The 23,403-nt window shown below is 46.1% G+C and overlaps 1 protein-coding gene across 1 annotated transcript in view, besides 2 other annotated features; it reads right to left on the bottom strand.

Annotated features, from left to right (window-relative positions):
- RTF1 (RTF1 homolog, Paf1/RNA polymerase II complex component) overlaps positions 1-23,403 on the bottom strand; it is a 66,469-nt gene that overhangs the window by 37,014 nt on the left and 6,052 nt on the right. Inside the window, exon 2 of the mRNA NM_015138.5 lies at positions 8,119-8,229. Within this exon, the coding sequence (NP_055953.3) occupies positions 8,119-8,229 (111 nt within the window). The remainder of the gene's footprint in view (positions 1-8,118; positions 8,230-23,403) is intronic.
- Positions 14,275-14,775: an enhancer, noted in NCBI's record as "H3K27ac hESC enhancer chr15:41723973-41724473 (GRCh37/hg19 assembly coordinates)". NCBI's record gives its function as "activates a minimal SCP1, AML or CMV promoter by ChIP-STARR-seq in naive H9 embryonic stem cells {active_cell/tissue: H9 hESC(naive)}" and the evidence as "EXISTENCE:reporter gene assay evidence [ECO:0000049][PMID:30033119]".
- Positions 16,757-16,976: an enhancer, noted in NCBI's record as "active region_9281". NCBI's record gives its function as "activates an Ori minimal core promoter by ATAC-STARR-seq in GM12878 lymphoblastoid cells {active_cell/tissue: GM12878}" and the evidence as "EXISTENCE:reporter gene assay evidence [ECO:0000049][PMID:35858748]".

Genomic DNA, 23,403 nt, shown 5'->3' with positions numbered 1-23,403 from the left:
GTCTTGCTCTGTTGCCCAGGCAGTGGCACAATCTCGGCTCACTGCAACCTCCACCTCCTGGGTTCAAGCGATTCTCCTGCCTCAGCCTCCTGAGTAGCTGGGACTACAGGCGTGCGCCACCACGCCTGGCTAATTTTTTGTATTTTTAGTAGAAAAGGGGTTTCACTGGGTTAGGATGGTCTCGATCTCCTGACCTCGTGATCCGCCCGCCTCAACCTCCCAAAGTGTTGGGATTACAGGCCTAAGACACCGCACCTGGCCAAAAATGAGAATTTCTGTGAGTCTGTTCTCTCATCTGTGGGGGAAAAAAAGTTCAGATGATCTCTAAGACCCTGTAACATTGTAGGTTTCCATATGAACTGAATGTTATTCTGAGTCAAACTAATCATAAGAAAAGTTCTATAGTCATTATTCTAGATACTGACAATGGCCACAAAAAAGATGTGTTTGAGAGGGCACGGTTCCTGATTTAGGTGTTTTTTTCTGAAAATAAAAAAAGAGTCAGAGGAAGCTGGGTGTGGTGGCTCACACCTGTGCTGGGATCAGCACTCTGGGAGGCCGAGGCAGACAGATCACTTGAGGCCAGGAGTTCGAGACCAGCCTGGCCAACATAGTGAAACCCCGTCTCTACTAAAAATACAAAAAAATTAGCTGGGCGTGGTAGCATGCGCCTGTAATCCCAGCTACTTGGAAGACTGAAGTACAAGAATTGCCTGAACCCAGGAGGCAGAGGTTACAGTGAGCAGAGATTGAGCCACCACACTCCAGCCCTCTTGATAGAGCAAGACTCTGTTTCCAAAAAAAAAAAAAAAAAATGGGGTCAGGAGTTGAAGAGTAAATGCAATTTTTTTTAATCCCAACTGACAGGAGGCAGTAAATGCAATTTAATGTCAGCCTGAAGACATGAAGAATAGCTTAGCTTTCTTAGCTTTCTTTTCCTTTCTACTGTGTAATCAGATAAAGTACAAAAGACACTATTGTATTTCATCATCAAGCAATCACATACATTTAACTGGAAAGCATAGAGAATCCTTGCACTCAATCACAAAAACTTGCAGTCTAGTTATGAAGACAAAAGCACAAACAAAACAGAAGTGATACCAAAAAATGAACAATATAATTAATACTACATTACACTGTTAGGTTGGGAGTGTCGGAATTTCTTGAAAATACATTTGAGCAATTAACTAGTCCATGAAAATCACCTTATTCCTAATTCTTGCAACGAGATCTTAATGGTGTCTAGAAAGATAAGGTGTTACTGTCTATTTGTCTACACAGTTAAGAGCCAATATGTAAAACATAAAGCTCATGAGGCCGGGCGCAGTGGCTCACGCCTGTAATCCCAGCACTTTGGGAGGCTGAGGCGGGTGGATCACGAGGTCAGGAGATCAAGACCATCCTGGCTAACACAGAGAAACCCCGTCTCTACTAAAAATACAAAAAAAAATTAGCTGGGCATTGGTGGTGGGCGCCTGTAGTCCCAGCTACTAGGGAGGCTGAGGCAGGAGAACGGCGTGAATCCGGGAGGTGGAGCTTGGAGTGAGCCAAGATCGTGCCACTGCACTCCAGCCTGGGCGACAGACCGAGACTCCGTCTCAAAAAAATAAATAAATAAATAAAATAAAATAAAAATAAAGCTCATGAGCAATCTAAACAGCTGTCACTAAGTTCAAGTACTAAAGCGCAGTATTCCAGCCTAAACTCTATGGCATTCCCTGGCTTCCTGACCCCACGACAGAAAATATGCAGTAAGTTGGAAGTGTTATAGAAGACATTACCAAGAAAAGAGCACAATGGTCACTTCTTACCAATATAACAGAGGAAAAAGGAAGCTGTATAAAGCAGTACCACACAGCTGGATATTTTGGAAGACATTTTTTCACAGTACAAGAACTGTTATTCGTAATCATGGCTTTAAATCAACAGAAAAACTACTACATATAATATCTAACGGGCCGGCCGCGATGGTCACGCCTGTAATCCTAGCACTTTGGGAGCCCGAGGCAGGCGGATCACCTGAGCTCAGGAGTTCAACACCAGCCTGGGTAACACGGTGAAACCCCATCTCTATTAAAAGTACAAAAAGTTAGCCGGGCGTGGTGGCAGGCGCCTGTAATCCCAGCTACTCGAGAGGCTGAGGCAGGAGAATCTCTTGAGCCCAGGAGGCGGAGGTTGCAGTGAGCTGAGATTGCACCACTGCACTCCAGCCTGGATGACAGAGCAAGACTCTGGCTCAAAAAAAAAAAAATCTAGCAAGTATTTTTCTTTTTTCCTTTGAGACAGAGTCTCAATCTGTTGCCCAGGTTGGAGTGCAGTGGCATGATTACAGCTCACTGCACCCTTGACCTCCTGAGGTTAGGTGATCCTCCCACCTCAGCCTCCTGAGTAGCTGGGGTAACAGATGCACACCACCACACCTGACTAATTTTTGTATTAAAAAAAATTTTTTTTTAATTTTTCTTTTTCTTTGTTTTTTTTTGAGATGGAGTCTCGCTCTGTCGCCCAGGCTGGAGTGCAGTGGTGCAATCTCGGCTCACTGCAAGCTCTGCCCCCCGGGTTCACGCCATTCTCCTGCCTCAGCCTCCAGAGTAGCTGGGACTACAGGCGCCCGCCACCACGCCCGGCTAATTTTTTTGTATTTTTAGTAGAGACAGGGTTTCACCATGTTAGCCAGGATGGTCTCGAGCTCCAGACCTTGTAATCTGCCTGTCTCGGCCTCCCAAAGTGCTGAGATTACAGGCGTGAGCCACTGCACCCGGCCCAATTTTTCTATTATTGCACCTCTAGCTACAATAATTTTTGTATTTTTAGTAGAGATGGGGTTTTGCCATATTGCCCAGGCTGGTCCCGAACTTCCCAGCTTAAGCAATCCTCCCACCTTGGCCTCCCAAATTGCTGGACTATAGGTGTGAGCCACCACACCCTGCTGGCCGTTTTTTTTTTTAACCCCAACTCATGATTGAATGGCTGCTAGCTCCCCTCCTTTTCACCTTGTTATCTTCCCTTCCAATCACTCTTGTTTGAACCTTTGATGATGCTTCTCTGATCAAATGCTTTCAAGGAGAGGAAGTGACAGCATCAAAGTGCCACACCACAGCATTCTGACCTTGACCTTGGCCAATGTAAATCTTACAAACAGCCTTGCTTCTTAGTTTTACATGTGCCTCCAGATATCGAGAATAATTCAATCACTAAAAATAATAGGACAAGTATATACTCTGTCATTAAATGTTGGTGTTTCCCCCCACCAAGCTACATTATATGTGAAACATCTACTTATTTCCTCACTAATATGACATTATACTGAATGTCCAGTGTACCCATTTTTTTCAGGATAGAAAACTTTCAGAGCTTCTCTCCATTTCCCTCTCCCTCATCAATTAGCTAAATATCTTTTTGCTCTAAAATCAGTGCATGTCTCTGATTTTATAAACAAATTACCGATTAACTTTTTAGCTCAGTTGTTCTTGACCAATTTTCTGTCCTAGCAAATCTGAGGGGACAAACGTATTTCTTTCTACCTATATTAATGGCTCACTAATGAAAAGAAACGGTATGAGAGACATATATAAGTTTGAAAAAACTGCAGGGCAGCTTCTGGTACAAGGAGGGCTTCCTCTGATGGAAAATTGCCACTTTATTTAATTTATTTATTTTTATTGAGATGCAGTCTCACTCTGGGGCCCAGCCTGGAATATAGTGGAGCGTTCTCGGCCCACTGCAACCTCTGCCTTCTGGGCTCAAGCGATTTTCATACCTTAGCCTCCCGAGTAGCTAGGACTACAGGTGCCCACTACTACGCCTGGCTAATTTTTGCATTTTTAGTAGAGACAGGGTTTCGCCATTTTGGCCAGTCTGGTCTCGAACTCCTGACCTCAAGTGATCTACCTGCCTTGGCCTCCCAAAGTGCTGGGATTACAGGTGTGAGCCACCATGCCTGGCCCGAGAATTGCCACTTTAACAACCAAATTTCTAAAAGGTTAATCTGCAGGCGTTAAAGACACAAAAGTTGAAGAAACGAGAAGACATAGCAAACTACTTCAGTATGTGTTTTTTCACCCACGAAAGACGTATTAATAATCATTATGATGGTGGCTCACACCTGTGATCCCAGCACTTTGGGAGGATGAGGCCGGCGGATCATGAGGTCAGGATATCAAGATCATCCTGGCTAGCACTGTAAAACCCCGTCTCTATTAAAAATACAAAAAATTAGCCAGGCGTGGTGGTGAGCGCCTGTAGTCCCAGCTGCTCGGGAGGCTGAGGCAGAAGAATGGCGTGAACCCGGGAGGCAGAGCTTACAGCGAGCCAAGATCACGCCACTGCACTCCAGCCTGGGCAACAGAGAGAGACTCCATCTCAAAAAAAAAAAAAAATCATTATGAAAGGGGAAAAAAAGAGCCACTGTCTCAAACTTTATAACCTAAGAATCTCTCAGAAGTCCCCTACCCAATCTAAAATGTCCACAGCAGCAATAAGTTTGAGCTCACAGTAATAACATTGAGTTACACAGTGGCTGGAAGAATTTTTTAATAAAGATTTTAATAGTTATTTTCTGAACTGTCCAAAATAATGAACTATTTGCTCTAACTCAGAGGTGCTCGTGCTAAGCTAGTATCTTGGGCCAAAGAGACATGATGGAAACAGAAAAACAGGCATCTTTCAGAATGACCATGATACAGACGCTGCTGCTCTCGTGAGAGAGGGACTGGAGTAGAGTTACAATAAGCCTGAGGGCCTGGAGTACTAGAATCTGAAGGCAGCAGCAGGAGCTAAGAATCCTGTAGGGGAAAAGTCACTCAAACGCTCATTTCTTGCTGGGCAGGGTGGAGCTTGCTGTCAGCTTTTTCTCCAATACGTGCACAAATCATTGGGTAGTGTTCTAAGATGAGCAGTTTTTTACTTCATTAAGCAGCTGCAAGTAACAAAGGGAACCCTAAACCATGAAGAATTTTATGGATGTGGATCTCCTCTAACACAAGTTGTGGGCTCCTCTAATGCTTTGGCTAAAAAAGGAGGAAGGGAATCTCAGTACTAACTGCAAAAGTTAGGACTCTGACCTAACTTTTAACAACAGACATATGGAGAATGAATGTGTTCCAAGCAGACTTACTGCTTGTATCTTAAGGAATACCAGAGACCACAAACACATTACAGGGTATTCCAGGCATAACACATATTCAAACTTAATACAATACTGAGTGGCAAGGGTGGACCACAGCAGCTGACTTCTGAAACATGAAAAATAAAAGTAGCTATAAGAATAGTGGGAGAGAGGCCAGACATGGTGGCTCACGCCTGTAATCCCAGCACTTTGGGAGGCCGAGGCGGGCGGATCACAAGGTCAGGAGATAGAGACCATCCTGGCTAACATGGTGAAACCCCGTCTCTACTAAAAATACAAAAAATTAGCCAGGAGTGGTGGCAGGCGCCTGTAGTCCCAGCTATTTGGGAGGTTGAGGCAGAAGAATGGAGTGAGCCCAGGAGGCGGAGCTTGCAGTAAGCCGAGATCACGCCACTGCACTCCAGCCTGGGTGACAGAGTGAGACTCCGTCTCAAAAAAAAAAAAAAAAAAAAAGAGGGGACTAGTGGGAGAGAAAATTATTTCAAGGTTTTTCTGTATTGTCTAGGCATTTAAAGAAAGAAAACAGAAAACAAAATGAAAAAGCAAATTATTTCATAGACCCCCCACTGATTTTTTGTTAATTTGAGAGAAATTATAGTTTATCCATTAAAAATAAACAAAAGAATAAACTTTTGGCCAGGCACAGGGCTCACGCCTCTAATCCCAGCACTTTGGGAAGCCGAGGCGGGCAGATCACGAGGTCAGGAGAATGAGACCATCTTGGCTAACGTGGTGAAACCCCGACTCTACCAAAAATACAAAAAATTAGCTGGGTGTGGTGACATGCGCCTGCAGTCCCAGCTACTTGGGAGGTTGAGACAGGAAAATTGCTTGAACCCAGGAGGCAGAGGTTGCAGTGAGCTGAGATCGCACCACTGCACTCCAGCCTGGCAACAGAGCGAGACTCTGTCTCAAAAAAAAAAAAAAAAAAGAGGCCAGGCGCGGTGGCTCACGCCTATAATCCCAGCACTTTGGGAGGCCAAGGGGGCGGGTCACCTGAGGTTAGGAGTTTGAGACCAGCCTGGCCAACATGGTGAAACCCCATCTCTACTAAAAATAAAAAATTAGCCAGGTGTGGTGGCACGCACCTGTAGTCCCAGCTACTCAGGAGGCTGAGGCAGGAGAATCTCTTAAACCCGGAAGGCAGAGGTTGCAGTGAGCCGAGATTGCGCCGCTGCACTGTAGCCTGGGTGACAGAGTGAGACGCAGTCTCAAGAAAAAAAAAAAAAAAAAGAAAGAAATTATCACTACAGTTGATCAGAAGGCAATCACTCCAATATGCACATGCAGGGCACCGGTAAATACTATTCAGCTGCTAATTAAATTTCATTATATTAAATAAACATTTTTTACTTTACTGTTAACAAATATTTTCCTAGGCTGTAGGGTAAGAAATTACACTGAAAGGTGATATCCGGCTTCTCTGCAAGTAATTACTAAGGGGAAGAAAATACTTTAAATCAAATGAAAGGCTGGGTGCAATGGCTCATGCCTGTAATCTCAGCAGTTTGGGAGGCCAAGGCAGGTGGATCATCTGAGGTCGGAAGTTTGAGACCAGCCTGGCGAACGTGGCAAAACCCTGTCTCCACTAAAAATACAAAAATCAGCCGGGCACTGTGGTGCGTGCTTGTAGTTCCAGCTACTTGGGAGGCTGAGGCAGGAGAATCGCTTGAACCCGAGAGGCAGAGGTTGCAGTGAGCCGAGATCGTGCCGTTGCACTCTGGCCTGGGCGATAAGAGTGAGACTCCATCTCAAAAAAATAAAATAAAATAAATAAATCAAATGAGAAACATGTAGAAGTGTTTCAAATATCTTTCCCCTCATCCCTGTCTTCCATTAAGGTTTTGGATCTTTTAGGGCCTGCCATTGTTGGTAGGTAATTTGGGAAAGTGACCTTGGTCTAGACAATGAACAGTTGGATTTTCCTCCTTTGAAGTTAACACCATCACTCGGAGGGATGTTGAATCAATCTTCCCAAAGTTTCTTTTCTCACTAAAGTATTTCCCATTAAACTACAGCATCCTTGATAGAATTTATTTTCTAACTTGAAAGTGAGATTAAAAAGATGACTCAAAAAGAAAAAAGAGAGTCCGGGCGCAGTGGCTCACACCTGTAATCCCAGCACTTTGGGAGGCCAAGGTGGGTGGATCACGAGGTCAGGAGATTGAGACCACCCTGGCTAACACAGTGAAACCCCGTCTCTACTAAAAATAAAAAAAAAAATTAGCCAGGCCTGGTGGCGGGTGCCTGTAGTCCCAGCTAGTCAGTAGGCTGAGGCAGGAGAATGGCGTGAACCTGGAAGGCGGAAGTTGCAGTGAGCCAAGATCACACCACTGCACTCCAGCCTGGTGACAGAGTGAGACTCTGTCTTGAAAAAAAAAAAAAGAAAATAAAAGAAAAAATAGGATTACTGACTGTACCACTTCTGCAATAAGGCTGAAAAAAAAAAAAAAAGCTACAGAATGACTACGCATGTCCTGCAGAGGGACCCACTAGGTAACTAGCAGTACAATGAACATGACATTCAATAGCTTTCATTACACCATTTTCTTTTTTTTTTTGAGACAGAGTCTTGCTTTGTCACCCAGGCTGCAGTGCAGTGGGGCGATCCCGGCTCACTGCAACCTCTGCCTCCTGAGTTCAAGCAATTCTCCTGCCTCAGCCTCCTTAGTAGCTGGGATTACAGGCGTGCACCACCACGCCTGGCTAATTTTTGTATTTTTAGTAGAGACAGGGTTTCACCATGTTGGCCAGGCTGGTCTCGAACTCCTGACCTCAGGTGATCCACCCACCTCAGCCTCCCAAAGTGCTGGGATTACAGGAGAGAGCCACAGCGCCCGGCCTTCCTTACACCATTTTCTTTCCCCAATAAATTCTTGTAGATCTTAGGCTGTAAGTCTCCATTTAAGGAAATGAGGCCAACAGGAGCCACCAAAGCGAGGAGCCTCAACTATCTAATGGTCCCAGAAGCCGAGGCCCTCCACACCCACCTCATCGTCACTGTCAGACGTCTCCGAGTCTGACGAGGCTGCAGGCTGACTCACAGGCGGCTCCTTCTCCTCAGAGTCACTGCGCTTTCGCTTTGCCAGGGACAAGAGCTCCTAATGGGACAAAAATAGGCACATCAGTTTTGTTCAACAGAGAAAGAATATCCAAGAATAATAAAATGCCCACCCTCTCTAGATCTTTTTTATATTTTTGTGTTTTCAACTAAAGGACATTGTCACAGGGACTTCTATCAGCATGAACAGACTGACTGCTAGGATTCCAAGATGCTGAAGAAATGTTTAGAAAATCTGCCCCACCTTTTCAATGGATAATATATGTCTGAAGTTGGACAGGAAATGGAACCAAACTGGAGGCTATCCCCAAACTGTTCCTGATTCTACCCTAAACAACAGAAGCACTGATTCTCTGGGACTGGTAAGAAACATGTTTACAAAGGTAACCTAGTCACTGTTTTATCCGGTTTAGTATTTTAATGGTAAAATTGGCATTTGTGGGGCAGTTTTGAATAAGCTTACAAACTGTAATTTCTGAGGTCATTTTATATTTTGAATACTTAAACCAGAAAAAAAGTGTCCAGTGTTTAATCCAGTCTGTGACAACAAGCAGTAAGTGTGCTGGCCACTACACCAGAATCCTAATTTCACAAGCCCTATTCTCCCAATTCACCACCTCTGCCTTGTCCTGGTCATTTAAGCGAAATGACAGTAAGAAGGAAGTACCAGTAAGTAAGCCATGACTACAACCAAGATTTGCTCTGTCACATGGTTCCCTTCTCACTTGAAGTCTCCTCAACTCAGTCCAGTCACTCAAAAACGCAACAAAAGGTTACTTGCTCTGCTTTCTGCTAATACCAATACCAGTCCACAATTATACTGTACTCACTAGATGCCAGATACTTTTCTTTTTTCTTTTTTTTTGAGACAGAGTCTCGCTGTGTCACCCAGGCTGGAGTACAGTGGTGCGACCTCGGCTTACTACAAGCTCTGCCTCCCGGGTTCACACCATTCTCCTGCCTCAGCCTCCCGAGTAGCTGTCAGGCGCCCACCACCACGCCCGGCTAATTTTTTTTTTTTGTATTTTTAGTAGAGAGGGGGTTTGACCACATTAGCCAGGATGCTCTCGATCTCCTGACCTCGTGATCCGCCCGCCTTGGCATCCCAAAGTGCTGGGATTACAGATGTGAGCCCCCACACCCGGCCCAATGCAAGGTACTTTTCTAAACATCTGATATTTAATCTTCACAACAACTGATATCATTACCATTTAAAGATAATGAAAGAAAAGAGATTTTTTTGTTGTTCTTGGTTTTTATTGTTTGTTTGTTTCAAGATGGAGTCTTGCTCTGTCGCCCAGGCTGGAGTGCAGTGGCGAGATCTCGGCTTACTGCAACCTCCGCCTCCCGGGTTCAAGCGATTCTCCTGAGTCAACCTCCCGAGTAGCTGGGACTACAGGGGTGTGCCACCACACCTGGGTAATTTTTTGTATTTTAGTAGAGACGGGGTTTCACCAAGTTGGCCAGGATGGTCTCGATCTCCTGACCTTGTAATCCGCCCAACTCGACCTCCCAAAGTGCTGGGATTACAGGCGTGAGCCACCATGCCTGGTCTCTTATTGTTTTTGAGACAGAGACTCACTCTGTTGCCCAGTCTAGAGTGCAGTGGCACGATCTCGGCTGACTGCAACCTCCACCTCCCAGATTCAAGCAATGGCCGTGCCTCAGCCTCCCAAGTAGATGGGACTACAGGAGAATGCCACCATGCCTGGCTAATTTTTTTTTTTTTTTTTTTTTGAGACAGAGTCTTGCTCTGTCGCCCAGGCTGGAGTGCAGTGGTGTGATCTCGGCTTACTGCAAGCTCCGCCTCCCGGGTTCATACCATTCTACTGCCTCAACCTCCCAAGTGGCTGGGACTACAGGCACCCACCACCACGCCTGGCAATTTTTTTTTTTTTTTTTTTGAGACGGAGTCTCGCTCTGTCACCCAGGCTAGAGTGCAGTGGCACAATCTTGGCTCACTGCAAGATCGGCCTCCCGGGTTCACACCATTCTCCTGCCTCAGCCTCCTGAGTAGCTGGGACTACCGGTGCCAGCCAAGCCCAGCTAATTTTTTTTTTTTTTTTTTTTTTTAGTAGAGACGGGATTTCACTGTGTTAGCCAGGATGGTCTCAATCTCCTGACCTCGTGATCCGCCTGCTTTGGCCTCCCAGAGTGCTAGGATTACAGGCGTGAGCCACTGCACCCAGCCATGCCTGGCTAATTTTTGTACTTTTAGTAGAAATGGGGTTTTGTCATGCTGCCCAGGCTGGTCTTGAACTACTGACCTCAGGTGATTCACTCGCCTTGGCCTCCCAAAGTGCTGGGATTACAGGTGTGAACCACCACACCAGGCCAAGAAACTAAGGAGTTTAAGTAACTTACCCAAGCTGTGTAACTTACCTAGTAACACAGCTGGTACATGATAGAGCCAGGATTCAAACCTCGGCAGACAGAATCCTGGCTCCTAACTGAGTCATGGCTTACTAGTCTGAAACATTTTTCCCTTCTGCCAAAAGAGAGAAGATACAGCTAATAAACACTAGTAGTAATATTCCTTAACGATGATGGTGCTATACAATTATGGATCAAGTGCCAAGACAGACTGTAAAATAATAGACTGCTACAAAGTATCTGTTTTATTCTTCCAGTCTCTATTTTAGGAGTATATCCTCCCTCCTTGGCTAAAATGAGAAATGACCTTCTCAGATTAAACAACTGACTCTCTTGTTGATAAACACTCATAAAATGTTAACTCTTGTCATTTCACTAGACAGAGTTAACATACCAACTTCCTGAAAGACTGAAATCATACTCTGCTTTTTCATACCAAAATGTTAACTCTATGGACCAAATGCAAATTATATCAACACTTGTGTGTTTACAGTCGTTTTAAAACCTGAGGTAAACTGGGCACGGTGGTCTACACCTGTAATCCCAACACTTTGGGAGGCCAAGGTAGGAGGCTTGCTTGTAGAGACCCAGTCTCTATAAAAAAAAAAACAAAACAAAAAACCCAAACTTGAGGTATAATTTATATATATTTTATCCTTTCTAATATACTTTTCTAATATACTAACACATATAGTTCTATGAGTTTGACAAATACTTTAAACCACGACCACAGTCAAGATCTTTATCTTCTCTGATACAGAGAAGATCTAATCTCATCTCTGACTCCTTCAGGTTCACAAATACACTAGTACTCCTGTTTTGATACCAATTGATTATAACAAAGATTTGGATTTGCTATTAATCAAAACACAGCAGACATCTGCTAAAAGTTACTGTAGGCAGGAGGCTACAGGCAGGAGAATCGCTTGAACCCAGGAGGCAGAGGTTGCAGTGAGCTGAGATCACGCCACTGCACTCCAGCATGGGCGACAGAGCGAGACTCCATCTCAAAAAAAAAAAAAAAAGAGTTACTGTAACTAAAGTAAGACATTAGTACTGCTGGCCAGGCGCGGTGGCTCACGCCTGTAATCCCAGAACTTTGGGAGGCCAAGGCGGGCAGATCACGAGGTCAGGAGTTCGAGACCATCCTGGCCAACATAGTGAAACTCCGTCTCTACTAAAAATACAAAAAATTAGCCGGGCATGGTGATGTGCGCCTGTAATCCCAGCTACTCGGGAGGCTGAGGCAGGAGAACTGCTTCAACCTGGCAGGCAGAGGTTGCAGTGAGCAGAGATCGCATCACTGCACTCCAGCCCGGGTGACAGTGCAAGACTCCATCTCAAAAAGAAAAAAAAAAAAAAAGACATTAGTACTGCCTTCCTGCTAAGGAGGTTCCACTCCATATCCCATCATCTACACTCTACAGTTCCATCATCCCTCAATTCTCTCATCTTTATACATCCCTTCTCCCATTCCCTGGCAACCAGAGACCTGTTTTCTGTCCCTATAGAACATCATATAGATGGAATCATATAGTATCTTAGCCTTTTGAGTTTGGCTTCTTTCATTCAGCACAGTGCATTTGAGATTCATTCACATTACAGCATGTATCATTACTATAGTTTGTCTCTATTTTTGCTAAGTAGTATTCCACTGTATGAATGTATCAGTTTGTTGAACCATTTACCAGCTGAAAAACATTTGTGCTAGGTGCAGTGGTTCACGCCTATAATCCCAGCACTTTGGGAAGCCAAGGTGGGAGGACCGCTTGAGCCCAAAAGTTTGAGACCAGCTTGGCAACATAGCATGACCTCATCTTTACTTAAAAAAAAAAAAAAAAAAGGCCAGGCGTGGTGGCTCACGCCTGTAATTCCAGCACTTTGGGGAGGCCAAGGTGGCGGATCACCTGAGGTTGGGAGTTCGAGACCAGCCTGACCAACATGGAGAAACCGCATCTCTACTAAAAATAAAAAATTAGCTGTGCGTGGTGGTGCATGCCTGTAATCCTAGCTACTCGGGAGGCTGAGGCAGAAGAATTGCTTGAACCTGGGAGGCAGAGGTTGCAGTGAACTGAAATAGCACCATTGCACTCCAGCCTGGGCAAAAAGAGCAAAACTCCATCAAAAAAAAAAAAAAAAAAAAAGTGTGGTAGCAAACAACAACAATAAAACATCTGAGTTGTTACCATTTGGGGGTAATTGTATGTTCATGTATAGTCTTCTATGTAAACATTAGTTTTTACTTCACTTTGAGTAAATACCTAGGACTGGGATTGCTGGGTTATATAGTAATACGTTTATGGTCTTTACCATTACCTTTTTTCCCATATTACTTTAATGTAAATTTATAAGCTTTAAAGACTTCTGGGCTGGGTGCAGTGGCTCACGTTTGTAATACCACTACTTTGGGAGGCTGAGGCAGGTATATCACTTGAGGTGTGCCTGGCCAACATGGTGAAACCTGATCTTTGCTAAAAATACAAAAATCAGCTGGGCATGGTGGCGCACGCCTGTAGTCCTAGCTGCTCAGGAGGCTGAGGTGGGAGAATCACTTGAGTCTGGGAGGTGGGGGTTGCGGTGAGCAAAGATCATGCCAGTGCACTCCAGCCTGGGCAACAGAGTGAGACTCTGTCTCAAAAAGGCAAAAAAGACTTCTGGTAAGTAATCTCTTCTCTGACCCCTTCAGTTTCACAAATGCATTATTATGCCAGTTTTATATTTTTATTTATTTATTTTTTTTGAGATGGACTCTCACTATGTCTCCCAGGCTGGAGTATAGTGGAGTGATCTCGGCTCACAGCAACCTCCGCCTCCCTGGTTCAAGTGATTCTCCTGCCTCAGCCTCCCAAGTAGCTGGGACTATAGGTGCACGCCACCACACCCAGCTAATAGTTTTGTATTTTTAGTAGAGACAGGTTTTCACCATGTTGGCCAGGATGGTCTCGAACTCCTGATGATCTGCCCACCTCAGCCTCCCAAAGTGTTGGGATTACAGGTGTGAGCCACCGCAGCCGACCTCAGTATGCCTGTTTGTTTTTCTTTTTTTTGTGAGACGGAGTTTCACTCTTGTTGCCCAAGCTGGAGTGCAATGGTGCGATCCCGGCTCACTACAACCTCGGCCTCCTGGTTCAAGCAATTCTCCTGCCTCAGCCTCCCAAGTAGCTGGGATTACAGGTGTGCACCACAACACCTGGCTAATTTTTTGTATTTTTAGTAGAAGTAGGGTTTCACCACATTAGCCAGGCTGGTCTTGAACTCCTGATCTCAGGTGAGCCGCCGCCTTGGCCTCCCAAAGTGCTGGGATTACAGGTGTGAGCCACCATGCCCAGCCTAGTATGCCTGTTTTAATACCAATTCGTTATAAGAGAAATTTGGATTTGCTATCAATCAAACCATAGTAGACATCTGTTAAAAGTTACTGTAACTGAAGTGTTAAGACATTAGTACTGCCTTCCTGTTAAGGAGGTTCCGCTCTACATACTGAAAACCTAGGCCGGGCGCAGTGGCTCACGCCTGTAATCCCAGCACTTTGGGAGGCTGAGGTGGGTGGATCACGAGGTCAGGAGATCAAGACCAACCTGGCTAACACAGTGAAACCCTGTCTCTACTAAAAATACAAAAAATTAGCCAGGCGTGGTGGCGAGCGCCTGTAGTCCCAGGTACTCCGGAGGCTGAGGTGGGAGAATGGCGTGAACCCGGGAGGCGGAACTTGCAGTGGGCCGAGATTGTGCCACTGCACTCCATCCAGACTGAGTGACAGAGCAAGACTCCATCTCAAAAAAAAAAAAAAAGAAAACCTAACAAACAGCTCTCCTTCATCAACAAACAACTGCATCTGATAAGTACAATCCCTCTTCTACTACATTAAATACCATATTAACAATAGTATGGCCAGGCACAGTGGCTCATGCCTGTAATCCCAGCATTTTGGAAGGCCGAGGTGGGCGGATCACAAGGTCAGGAGTTCAACACCATCCTGGCCAGCATGGTGAAACCACGTCTCTACTAAAAATACAAAAAATTAGCCAGGCATGGGGGCGTGCACCTGTAGTCTAGCTACTCGGGAGGCTGAGGCAGGAGAATCACTTCAACCTGGCAGGTGAAGGTTGCAGTGGGCCAAGATCGTGCCACTGCACTCTGGCCTGAGCAACAGAGGGAGACTGCGTCTCAAAAAAAAAAAAAAAGTATGAGCCAGGGACACTGGCTCACAACTGTAGTCCTAGCACTTTGGGAAGCCGACGAGGGCTGATCGTTTGAGCCCAGGAATTCGAGACCAGTCTGGGCAATGTGGTGAAACCCCGTCTGTACAAAAAATCCAAAAACTCAGCCAGGTGTGGTGGCACATGCCTATAGTCTCAGCTACTCAAGAGGCTGAGGCAGAATTGTTTTGAGTCTGGGTGGTTGAGAGTGCAGTGAACCACTTCACTCCAGCCTGGGAAATAGAGCAAGACACTGCCTTAAAAAGAAAAACCCAGTCGGGCGCGGTGGTTCACGCCTGTAATCCCAGCACTTTGGGAGGCCGAGGCAGGTGGATCACGAGGTCAGCAGTTCGAGACCAGTCTGACCAACATGGTGAAACCCTGTCTCCACTAAAAATACAAAAAAAGTAGCTGGGCGTGGTGGCAGGCGCCTGTAATCCCAGCTACTTGGGAGGCTGAGGCAGAAGAATTGCTTGAAACCAGAAGGCAGAGGTTGCAGTGAGCCGAGATTGCACCACTGCACTCTAGCCTGGGCAACAAGAGCAAAACTCCTTCTCAAAAAAAAAAAAAGAAAAAAGAAAAACCCGCTGGACGCAGTGGCTCACGACTGTAATCCCAGCACTTTGGGAGGCCAAGGTGGGCAGATCACGAGGTCAGGAGTTCAAGACCAGCCTGGCCAACATGATGAAACCCCGTCTCTACTAAAAATACAAAAAAATTAGCTGGGCATGGTGGCAGGCGCCTGTAATCCCAGCTACTTGGGAGTCTGAGGCAAGGAGAATCGCTTGAACCTAGGAGGTGGAGGTTGCAGTGAGCCGAGATCACACCACTGCACTCCAGCCCGGGCGACAGTGCAAGACTCTGTCTCAATACAAAAAAAAGAAAAGAAAACCCACAATAGTATGGAGACAGCAAAGACTCTCTTAACAGTGTGAAAGATACAAGATGCACTTCCCACAACTTGAGGATTGTATAGGAAGTTACTGGGAAAACTCACAGCAAGATTACTTTTTAGCTCAGTCCTTTATATTCTTTTTGTTTGTTTTTGGAGATGAAATCTTGGTCTGTCGCCTAGACAAGAGTGCAGTGGTATGATCTTGGCTCACTGCAGCCTTTGCCTCCCAGGTTCAAGCGATTCTCCCACCTCAGCCTTCCAAGTAGCTGGGACTACAGGCATGCACCACCACGCCCAGCTAATATTTTGTATTATTAGTAGAGACAGGGTTTCATCATGTTGCCCAGGCTGGTCTTGAACCTCTGAGCTCAGGCAATCTACCTGCCTCACCCTCCCAAAGTGCTAGGATTACAGGTGTGAGCCACGATGCCCAGCCAGTCCTTTACATTCTTATTGAGGGCTCATAATAGCTGAATAGACCAATATGCAACAAAAAAGTCTTCCCACCCTGTCTCTACTAAAAATACAAAAGATTAGTTGGGTGTGGTGCCACGCGCCTGTAGTCCCAGCTATTTGGGAGGCTGAGGCTGGAGAATCGCTTGAACCCGGGAGGTGGAGGTTGTAGTGAACCAGAGGTTGCAGTGAGCCGAGATCGCGCCACTGCACTCCAGCCTAGGGGGCAGCGAGACTCTGTCTCAAAAAAAAAAAAAAAAAAAAAATTAGCCAGACATGGTGGCATGCACCTGTAATCCCAGCTACTCACGAAGCTGAGGCAGGAGAACTGCGTGAACCCAGGAGGTAGGGATGGCAGTGAGCTGATATCGTGCCACTGCATTCCAGCCTGGGCAATAGAGCAAGACTCTGTCTCAAAAAAAAAAAAAAGAAAAGAAAAAATAAAATAAATTAAATTAAATTAAAAACAAAGAAAAAATAAGGAAAAGATACATGGTCCTTGACCTCATGGAATTTAAAATCAAGTATGGGAGACAAACAATGAACAAGTAAAGAAACAATGAATTCCATCTAATGGTAAGTGTTAAGAAGGAAGTGAATCAAATGAGTGCAGGGGCTATCTGCAGTAGGGTGGTTAGAGAGGCTTCTCTGAGGCACTGAGGCTGAGACTAGAAACTTCACGAGAGGAAAAGATGGTACAGTTTTCTGGACAGAGGCCTTCAGATGGAACAGCTAAGGCCCTGAAGCTGATAACAGCTTGGCTTAGTCAAAGAACTGAAAGAGAAACTGTGACTAAAGTTTAGCAGGCAAGCAGGAGAATTGAATGCGGTGGGTTAGTGGTAAGAAGAAAACATATCTTTCTGAGCTTTATAAAACAGGGTGAGGAGCATGGAAGTTAGGCAGTGGGAAGCCATCAAATGGTTTGAAGCAGGGGAGTAACCCAATCCAGCAAGGGTTTTAAAAGAGCACTCCTGGAAAGAGAGAGAGAGAGAAAAAAAAAAAAAGAGCACTACAACTGGTAGATGAACAGACTAGAGGGGCCAGGGTGGAAGTACAGAGAGGACTCAGAAGGAACCCACAGCAGTCGCATTAAACAAGTAGCCACAGGGACAGAGAGAAGTGGAAGGATCTACGAGATGACGAGGAAAAAAGAGTAATTCGCAGAGCTTTAAATCCGAGAAGTTACTTCCTAGTGTCCCTTTCATAGCAAAACTGTTGGTTGATTTAAACAGTGAATATTGGCTGGGCGTGGTGGCTCACAGGTGGCTTACAGGTGGCCTGTAATCCCAGTACTTTGGGAGGCCAAGGTAGGAGGAAGGATCCCTTGAGCCCAGGAATTTGAGACCAGCATGGGCAACACAGGGAGACCCTGTCTCTACAAAAAATTAAAAATCAATTCGCTGTGGCCAGGAGTGGTGGCTCACGCCTGTAATCCCAGCACTTTGGGAGGCCAAGATGGGCAGATTACTTGAGGTCAGGAGTTTGAGACCAGCCTGGCCAACATGACGAAACCCCGTCTCTACTAAAAATACAAAAAGTAGGCAGATGTGGTGGCATATGCTTGTAATCCCAGCTACACAGGAGGCTGTGGGAGAACTGGTTGGGCCCAGGAGGCAGAGAGGTTGCAGTGAGCTGAGATCACACCACTGCACTCCAGCCTGGGCAACAGAGCAAGACTCTGTCTCAAAATAAATAAATAAATTAGCTGGGCATGGTGGCACACACCTGTGATCCCAGCTACTCCAGAGGCAGAGGAGGGAGGATCACTTGAAGCCAGGAGGTCAAAGCTAGAGTGATCCATGACCACGTCACTGCACTTCAGCTTGGGTAACAGAGTGAGACCCTGTCTTCAAAAAAAAAAAAAGGAGTAGGGGGCCGGACACGGTAGCTCACACTTGTAATCCCAGCACTTTGGGAGGCTGAGGTGGGCGGATCACAAGGTCAGGAGATCGAGACCATCCTGGCTAACACAGTGAAACCCCGTCTCTACTAAAAATACAAAAAAATTAGCCGGGTGTAGTGGCGGGCACCTGTAGTCCCAGCTACTCGGGAGGCTGAGGCGGGAGAATGGTGTGAACCCAGGAGGCAGAGCTTGCAGTGAGCTGAGATCACGTCATTGCACTCCAGCCTGGGCAACAAAGCGAGACTCCATCTCAAAAAAAAAAAAAAAAAAAAAAAAAAAAGGGATATCAGTATTGCAGTAGAGGGGTTGGAACAAGAACCCCCAAAGTGACAGTGTCCTTTATCTCTTCAAGTAATCTCAATGTAACCAAGTTAGAAAATGTCCCACCATGTAGCTTGGGTGACACAGTGAGACCCCAGCTCTAAAAATAAAATTAAAAAAAAAAGAAGGCGGCCAGGCATGGTGGCTCATGCCTGTAATCCCAGCACTTTGGGAGGCCAAGCCAGGCAGATCACCTGAGGTCAGGAGATCAAGACCAGCCTAGCCAGCATGGTGAAACCCCGTCTCTACTAAAAATACAAAAATTAGCCAGGTGTGGTGGCGGACACTTGTAATCCCAGCTACTTGGGAAGCTAAGACAGGAGAATCACTTGAACCCGGGAGGCGGAGGTTGCAGTGAGCTGAGATTGCCCCACTGCACTCCAGCCTGGGCAACAAAGAGCAAAACTCCATTTCAAAAAAAAATAAAACTTGACACCATAGGTATGCCAAGTAGCATCTGCTTATTCAACAAAAATTTATTAAGTGCCTACTCTGTCAGGCGAGCATCGGCATAATTATTATTACTGTTATTATTATTTGAGTCAGGGTCTCACTGTCACCCAGGCTGGAGTGCAGTTGTGTGATCATGGCTCTCTGCAGCCTCAACCTCCTAAGCTCAGGTGATCCTCCTATCTCAGCCTCCTGGGTAGCTGGGACTACAGGCACACACCACTACACCCAGCTTATGTAGCTTTTATTTTGAATGAATAGCTGGGACCACAGGCGCATGCCACCACACTCAGCTAATTTTTTAAAAATTTTGTAGGGCCGGGCGCAGTGGCTCACGCCTGTAATCCCAGCACTTTGGGAGGCCAGGGTGGGTGGATCACGAGGTCAGGAGATCCAGACCATCCTGGCTAACACGGTGAAACCCCGTCTCTACTAAAAATACAAAAAATTAGCCGGGCATGGTGGCGGGTGCCTGTAGTCCCAGCTACTCAGGAGGCTGAGGCAGGAGAATGGCGTGAACCCGGGAGGCGGAGCTTGCAGTGAGCCGAGATCGCACCACTGCACTCCGGCCTGGGCAACAGAGCAAGACTCTGTCTCAAAAAAAAAAAAAAAAAAAAAAAATTTGTAGACCAGGCATGGTGGCTCATGCCTGTAGTCCCAGCACTTTGGGAGGCCAAGGTGGGTGGATCACGAGGTCAGGAGTTCAAGACCAGCCTGGCCAACATGGTGAAACCCTATCTCTACTAAAAATACAAAAATTAGCTGGGCGTGGTGGTGGGCCCCTGTAATCCCAGCTGCTTGGCAGGCTGAGGCAGGAGAATTGCTTGAACCTGGGAGGTGGAGGTTGCAGTGAGCCGAGATCACACCATTGCGCTCCAGCCTGGGCAACAGAGTGAGACTCTGCCTAAAAAACAAACAAACAAACAAACAAACAAAAATTACACACACACACACACACACACACACACACACACACACACACACATATATATGTAGCGGCTGGGCACAGTAGACTCACGCCTGTAATCCCAACACTTCAGGAGGCCGGCGGGGGGGGGGGGCGGGGGGGGGGGGGGGCGGGGTGGATCACCTGAGGTCAGGAGTTCGAGACCAGCCTGGCCAACATGGAAAAACCCCATCTCTACTAAAAATACAAAAAAATGGCCAGGCACAGTGGCTCACGCTTGTAATCCTAGCAGTTCGGGAAGCCGAGGTGGGCAGATCATGACGTCTGGAGTTCGAGATCAGCCTGGCCAATATGGTGAAACCCTGTCTCTACTAAAAATACAAAAAATTAGTCAGGCATGGTGGCGCACGCCTGTAGTCCCAGCTACTCGGGAGGCTGAGGCAGAAGAATCGCTTGAATCCAGGAGGGGGAGGTTGCAGTGAGCAGAGATCGTGCCACTGCACTCCACCCTGGGCGACAGAGCGAGACTCTATCCCAAAAAAAAAAATAAAAACAAACAATCAAAAAAATTAGCTGGGCATGGTGGCATGTGCCTGTAATCCCAGCTACTCAGGAGGCTGAGGCACGAGAATCGCTTGAACCCAGGGCGGAGGTTGCAGTGAGCCAAGATGGTGTCACTGCACTCCAGCCTAGGCAACAGAGCGAGACTCCACCTCCAAAAAAAATTTTTTTTTTTTGTAGAGATCAGGTTTCATCATCATGTTGCCTAGGCTGATCTCAAACTCCTGAGCTCAAGCAATCCTCCCACCTCAGCCTCCCAAAGTGCTGGGATTACAGGCATGAGCCATTGTGCCTGGCCCTCAAGTGTTATTTTCAACTACCTACTTGATGTCTCCACTTAGACATCTCATAGTCACTTCGAACTCCACATATCCCAGACTGAATGCAGGATCTTCACCTCTAAACCTGCTCCTCCAGCACTCCCCATCTCATGCCAGTGCCTGGCATCAATCCTAAATACTCCTCTTCTCATCCTAACATCTAATCAGTCCTCAGTCTTCAAGGCCTTTTAGTTCTACATACTGAACATCATGTCCAACCAATTCCACTATCTGTCATCTCTATAACAACCATATCAATCCAAGTCAGTCCTTCATTTAATAAATACTGACTGGGTGCCAACTGCATATAGGCACTGCTCTAGATGCCAGGGACAGCATAGTGAACACATACGGTTACCCTCCTGGCGCTTCCATTCTAATGGAACTTATGTTCTCCATCATCTCTCATCTGGACTCCTCTCTCTGCCACTTCATTAGTGTCCCCCTCCATATTACTCTCCACAATAGTCTGGGTAAGGCAAATCTGAAAATCTTCTCCAACTTAAAATCCTTCAATGGCTTCCTATTACTCTCAGAATAAACTCCAAAGTCTCTACTAAAAATACAAAAATTGGCCAGGCGCGGTGGCTCACACCTGTAATCCCAGCACACTTTGGGAGGCCGAGGCGGGCAGATCATGAGGTCAGGAGATCAAGACCATCCTGGCTAACATGGTGAAACCCGTGCCTACTAAAAATACAAAAAAAAAATTAGCCGGACACAGTGGCAGGCGCCTATAGTCCCAGCTACTCGGGAGGCTGAGGCAGGAGAATGGTATGAACCCGGGAGGCGAAGCTTGCAGTGGCAGAGACAGCGCCACTGCAGTCCGGCCTGGGCAAAAGAGCGAGACTCCGTCTCAAAAATAAAAAACAAAAATTAGCCAAGTGTGGTGGCACACACTTGCAGTCCCAGCCACCGGGGAGGCTGACGCCCTCCAGTGGCTTTAAATTTTTTTCTTTTTTTCTTTTGTTTTTTTTAGACGGAGTCTCTCTGTCACCCAGGCTAATACAGTGGTGATCTCGGCTCACTGCAACCTCCGCCTCCTAGGTTCAAGGGATTCTCATGCCTCAGCCTCACCAGTGGCTGGGACTACAGGTGTGTGCCACCGCACTTGGCTAATTTTTGTATTTTTACTAGAGATGGGGTTTCGCCATGTTGGCCCGCCTGGTCGAACTCCTGGCCTCATATGATCCACCCACCTCGGCCTCCCAAAGTGCTGGGATTAAAGGCGTGAGCCACTGCGCCTGGCCAAAAAACTTTTCTCTTTTTAACGCAGCCCACAGGAAGATAAATTATACCTCACAACCCAGTATACATCTACATGTACATATGAGACACACAAATTTCATCACTTATATTTACTATGTATGACACATTTGATGTTTTCTATCAATTCAATTTTATTTTTACTGCTGAGTGTAGTCCGTAAACTGACTTCTCCATCCTCAAAGGGTCAAAACAGAATCTACCTCTACAGTTTCATTTGTACTATTCTCTCTCCAACTATGCAACTAGTTTATGTTACTCACTCTGTGCTTCTTTCAGTTTCATAAGGGTTCGAGGTCCTTCCTGTCTCATTTCTTTTATATATGCTGGTGCCTCAACCATGAACATTCAACACTCTTCCCTTTACTCTTCAGTCTTCTAATCTGCTTCTCCTTAACACATATTCCAGGTCTGTTTCAATGTCACTCTCATCAGGCTAGAATAGGGTCCCTGGTTAATATTTCCACAGTATTCTTGTCCTTGCTTCATGGCCTGTAGTGCAATTGTAAGGAAATTACTCTCTCTGAGCAATCTCCCCACCTCATCTCTCTCTCATTCCACTTTACACTCCTTGAAGGTGGAAACTGCTTCCATTTTGTTCACCCAATAGCTCTAGTGTCTAACGCTGTCTAATACATCTGTTGAACGATGAACAATCAGGCCGGATGCGGTGGCTCATGCCTGAAATCCCAGCACCCTGGGGAAGCCAAGGAGGGCGGATCACTTGAGGTCAGGAGTTTGAGACCAGCCTGGCCAACATGGTGAAACCCCATCTCTACTAAAAATACAAAAATTAGTCGGGCATGGTGGTGCATACCTGTAATCCCAGCTACTTGGGAGGCTGAGGCAGGATAATTGCTTGAACCCGGGAAGCGGAGGTGGCAGTGAGCTGAGATCGTCCCACTGCACTCCAGCCTGGGCAACAAAGTGAGACTCCATCTCAAAATAAATAAATAAATAAATAAAAATAAATACACCAATATGACCTGTGTCTGAAGATCAGTTTTGTATTTTTCCTAAAAGCCTCACTGTTAAAGCTCCCAGGGCTGGGCGTGGTGGCTCACCCCTGTAATCCCAGCACTTTGGGAGGCCGAGGTGGGTGGATCATCTGAGGTCGGGAGTTTGAGACCAGACTGACCAACATGGAGAAACCCCATCTCTAATAAAAATGTAAAATTAGCCGGGAGTGGTGGCGCGTGCCTGTCATCCCAGCTACTCGGGAGGCTAAGGCAGGAGAATCACTTGAACCTAGAGGCGGAGGCTACAGTGAGCCCAGCGTGCCATTGCTCTCCAGCCTGGGTGACAGAGCAAGACTCCATCTTGGGTGGGGGCTGGGTGGGGAGGGAGCTCCCATGGGACTCACTCTTTGAAAAGAGTGAAATTAACAAGCGAATTACATCAAGCTAGATGCAACATGACACAAATTAAAGTTTTCACAAATTAACACTGACACTTCTCACAAACTCTTCCTACACTTCAAAATTTGCCTCTGATTAATGCGGAAAACACTACATTAACAAGAAGCACAACTTTTAAATTTCTCAAGATTTATGGGGAAGGTTTATA

The sequence above is a fragment of the Homo sapiens genome, chromosome 15 (genome assembly GCF_000001405.40).
Source record: "Homo sapiens chromosome 15, GRCh38.p14 Primary Assembly".
NCBI lineage: Eukaryota > Metazoa > Chordata > Mammalia > Primates > Hominidae > Homo > Homo sapiens.
Note: the sequence above shows the minus strand (reverse complement) of the source record. Positions and strands in the feature narration are given on the sequence as shown.